The sequence below is a fragment of the Homo sapiens genome, chromosome 4, assembly GCF_000001405.40.
Source record: "Homo sapiens chromosome 4, GRCh38.p14 Primary Assembly".
Classification (NCBI taxonomy): Eukaryota; Metazoa; Chordata; class Mammalia; order Primates; family Hominidae; genus Homo; species Homo sapiens.
Window position 1 is genome coordinate 59158294 of NC_000004.12, and position 4500 is coordinate 59162793.

Genomic DNA, 4500 nt, shown 5'->3' on the forward strand with positions numbered 1-4500 from the left:
TTATGTTTCTTATTGGTCCAACATATCACCATGTCATGTCAACTATTTCCTATAATAGTTTCATTCTGACCTTTATTGACGTGTCAGTTTTATGCTTTGTACTTTAATCAATATCTATTCAGAAATGATTTACTTTTGTTCAATGAATGGCTTTGGTGTATAGAAATTTTGTCATTCTTTATTACAACAAACTCTGATTGCATGTACCTATTTTTCTGGATGTCAGCTTTCTATCACTGTTCAAGATGTATCTTATTTTACATCTCTTCAGACAATAATTTTAAATATAATAATATGCCTGCCTTCCTACAGAATACTATTTCAACAGCTAACATATTTTAAAAGCTTTTACCCTGGATTTACAAAGTTTAAATAAATTTCTGAAATAGCTCTAGAGTAGAAAAGGCATCTTAGAAAATAGTCTTAAGGAGAGATTTTCAGTTGAACTTATTTCTTTATGAAAAATATATTTTGTCAAATATTGCTACCATTTATAGTAATTGAATAAAATTTTATTAGTAATGAATTAAAACATTGGCTACTAACCAATTATATAGAGAGAAATTTTACTCCTTGTCTTTAATAACTTAAAGTGTTTAGATAGAATCCAACATTTTCTAATGCTATAACTAATCATAAATTTTTATGAAGTTCAGTAGAAAAGTGTCATGCAAAAACATTAAACTGTATTATTCCCTTCTTTTGATTTCCCTCTTATTACTATCCCTTTAAATGTTAAACTGTATCTACCTATTAGTTATTCATAAATTATACGATATAAGTGTATATACTACGTCATTCTTTGAGGATTTATGATACTGACATTGATTATCCTCCCAAGGCTGAGAAAAATCTTGTATCTTTTCAGGTAATGTTTAACCTCAATCCCTGACAAAGTTGATACTCACACAAGAGCTCTGGGAATAAAAGGGAACATGGTAATTTAGAATTCGAGAGACCTGCCTGTGATGGTCAGAGCATTCTCTTACTAGTTATGTGACATGAGACATATTATGTAACCTTGATGATCATCTGTTTTTTACCTACAAACTAGTTTCATTGATAAACAAAGATCCTCCCTCACTGATATTTGTAAAATTAAAAGAGATAATGTTTGCCATACACTTAAATTTGCATACGATGAGCATGCATGAAATCATTGTTGTTTTTATTGTTCTTGCAAAGAAATGGAAAGAGATCAATGGGGGGTGATGCTGAGTGGGGAACAGTAAAATTCCAAAGCCCTGCATCACCACCTTGAAAATCACAGAAAGAATAGGAAATAATCCAAATGCTGCTGCAGTAACCAGTAAATGGTAAGAGGAAAAGAAATGAATTATAGCTGATCATCCCTCTTCTCAGGTGTATAGAGAGACTTTAATAATAGAGACATGAGGTGACACTGGAGAATATTTTTGATATTCCCACTAGCTAAAAACAAATTATGTAATTTTAAATTTAAGTATCTACAGACATATCTTGGAGATATGGTTTGGTTCCAGACCACAATGTTAAAGCAAATATTGCAATGTAGCAAGTCTATTAAAAACACCTTATGGATTAAAAATGCTAATGATAATCTAAGCCTTCAGCAAGTATTAATCTTTTCACTGGTGGAGGGTTTTGTCTCAATATTGCTGGCTGCTAACTGATCAGGGTGGTGGTTGCTGAAGGTTGTCGTGGCTGTGCCAATTTCTTAAAATATAAGACAACAATGAAGTTTTCTGATCCACTGATTCTTCCTTTTATGAAATATATATTTGTAGCATTAAATGCAGTTTCACAGCACTAGACTTACAGTAGAACTTCTTTCGAAGTTGGAGTCAATCATCTCAAACCCTCCTGCTGATTTGTCATCTAAGTTTAGGTAATATTCTAAGTCCTTTCTTGTCATTTCAACAATTTTACACCATCTTCACCGGGAGTAGATTTCATCTCAAGAAACCACTTTATTGGCTCATCTATAAGAAGCAATTCTTTGAGATAGGGGACAATATAGCCAAATAGATGCAGCCAGAAAGCAGCATTCTCATGGAAAAGAGACTAAAATTGAGCAAAGCAACATTTTAAAAACACGTCTTTGGAGAAAGAAAACCAAGAATCATTACAAAGACAATGTAGACACTGAGGCTGAAGAAGAGGGAGGAAGCTGAGAACCCTGCACGGGGTTGCCAAATGTCAGGGTTAGTATCCATTCCCGAACTCCTCCTAGGGAACTTGTGTGCGATGGAATGGTGGGTCAGCTCTCTCTCTCCATAAACCTCTGGGATCCTAATTTCAAGAGATTCCACATCCCCTATGGACACTTGAGCTGACAGAGGAGTCTGCCTAAAGAGTAAGCAGAGACAGAATTTCAGCCCGTGCTAAGCCAAAGGATTTTTGTGCACAGGGCAGTCGCAGCGAACAGGGCCATAGGCACCCATCCCCCCAGGCTCCCCATTTTCCTCTGAGTTGCTCTTACCTCAAAATACTGAGAGCCCAAAAGACAGCACGGCTGATTTTCCTACAAGAGAGCATGGATGATTTTCCTGCAGAATTGGAGCACATTTGTTTTTCAAGCCCTCCTGCCTGCTAGCCTCTCCCAAAGCCCCTGCCTGGCCACTCCTGCAGGAGCATGTGTACAGCAGTTTCCACTGCCCAGCCTTGGTGCATCACTGGCATCCCCAACTCACCAATTTCTGATGGCCTGATATTATTTCTGACACTTAAGTGCAGTCAGTGCCCAACCCCAAGGGATAGGAGACTGGAGCTGCTGGCCAGTCCCAGTTTCCCAGGGCTGCACGCAAGGAGTGCCTTGCAGACACTGGTGTCCAGCACTCAAGCAGGGGAGAAGCCCCCACTCTCAGAACACTCAGAGGGGTCAGAAATGTAGGCTCATGGGCTGGCACAGAAGCAGGGTGTGCCTTACTTTACAGAACCTGTCTGGGAAGGGTATCGCCTATCTGCTAGCTATAGCTTCTGCTCAAGAGAGCCTCAGAGCGTGGAACACCTAACAGAGGAATGCGGGCATGGCACAAGTGATTTGAGAGGGCTCCCAAAAGACCCAGGAGCGAAGTTAGTGATGGAGTCATCTCTCCCCCGACCCACCACTGTGAACATGCTGAAATAGAAAAGAGCCATGCAGCTGAGCCAGGGACTATCTGATGGCAATTACTCTTAAGTGCCATCTACTGGTTTGAATCCCAAATTACAACACCAAAAATATTGTGAAATATTCAAAATGTATGACACTCAGGGCAAAAATTCACCTGCAAATAAAAATCCTGTACAGAGTTTTGGCCCTCTGAAAACATCCAGAAATGAAGCCAATCGACTATACTCAACGCACACAACAATTAAAAGAATACTAACCCTCTCAGATGAGAAAGAATCAGTGTAAGGACTGTCAATTCAAACAATCAGAGTGTCCCCTTAACTCCAAATGAGCGCAGTAGCTCCCAAGCAATAGTTCTTAGCCACGTTGGAAATGACTGAAATAACAGACATATAATTCAGAATCTGGATGGCATGGAAGCTTATCAAGATTCTAGAGAAAGTTGAAATCCAATCCGAGGAATTCAAGGAAACTAATAAAATGATCCAAGAGCTCAGAGACAAAATAGCCATTTTAAGAAAGAACCAAACTAATCTTTTGGAAATAAAAAATATCACTACACTTATTTTATAATACAATTGTAAGTATTACAAGCAGAATAGATCTAACTGAGGAAAGACTCTCATAACTTGAAGACCAGTTTTTCAAATAAACTCAGTTAGACAAAATGTAGGAAAAAAAAAACCTTAAAAAGTTAATAAAACCTCTGGGAAATATGGAATTATGTAGAGACCAAATCTATGATTCATTAGTATTCCTGAGAGAGAAGAGATGGTAAGCAACTTGGAAAATAAATATGAGGATATAGTCCATGAAAACTTCACCAATCTCATTGGAGAGGTTTACATGGAAATTTTAAAAATACAGAGAGACCAAGGAAGATACTATACAAGATCACCATCCCCAAGGCACATAGTAATCAGATTCAGCAAGGTCAATTTGAAAAAAGAAAAGAAAGAAAAGAAAAGAAAAGAAAGAAAGAAAGAAAGAAAGAAAGAAAGAAAGAAAGAAAGAAAGAAAGAAGAAAGAAAGAAAGGAGGGAAGGAAGGAAAAGAAAGAAAAGAAAAAAGAAAGGAAAGGAAACAAAGAAAGGAAAGAAAGCAAAGAAAGGAAAGAAAGGAAGAAAGAAAGAAGGAAAGAAAGAAAAAGAGAAAGAAAGAAAGAAAAGAAAAGAAAAGAAAGGAAAAAAGGAAAGGAAACAAAGAAAGAAAAGAAAGGAAAGAAGGCAAGAAAGAAAGGAAGAAAGAAAGAAAGAAAGGAAGTTATTTGGAAGGGTCAGGGAAACCCATCTGGCTAGCAGCAGACCTCTCAGCAGAAGTCTTATGAGCCAGAAGAGATTGGGGGCCTATTTTCGGCATCCTTAAAGAAAAGAAATTTCAACCAATAATTGTATATCCTGTTAAACT

General features: G+C 37.4%; 1 annotated feature.

Moving 5' to 3' along the window:
• Nucleotides 903-1404: an enhancer, noted in NCBI's record as "NANOG hESC enhancer chr4:60024914-60025415 (GRCh37/hg19 assembly coordinates)". NCBI's record gives its function as "activates a minimal SCP1, AML or CMV promoter by ChIP-STARR-seq in naive H9 embryonic stem cells {active_cell/tissue: H9 hESC(naive)}" and the evidence as "EXISTENCE:reporter gene assay evidence [ECO:0000049][PMID:30033119]".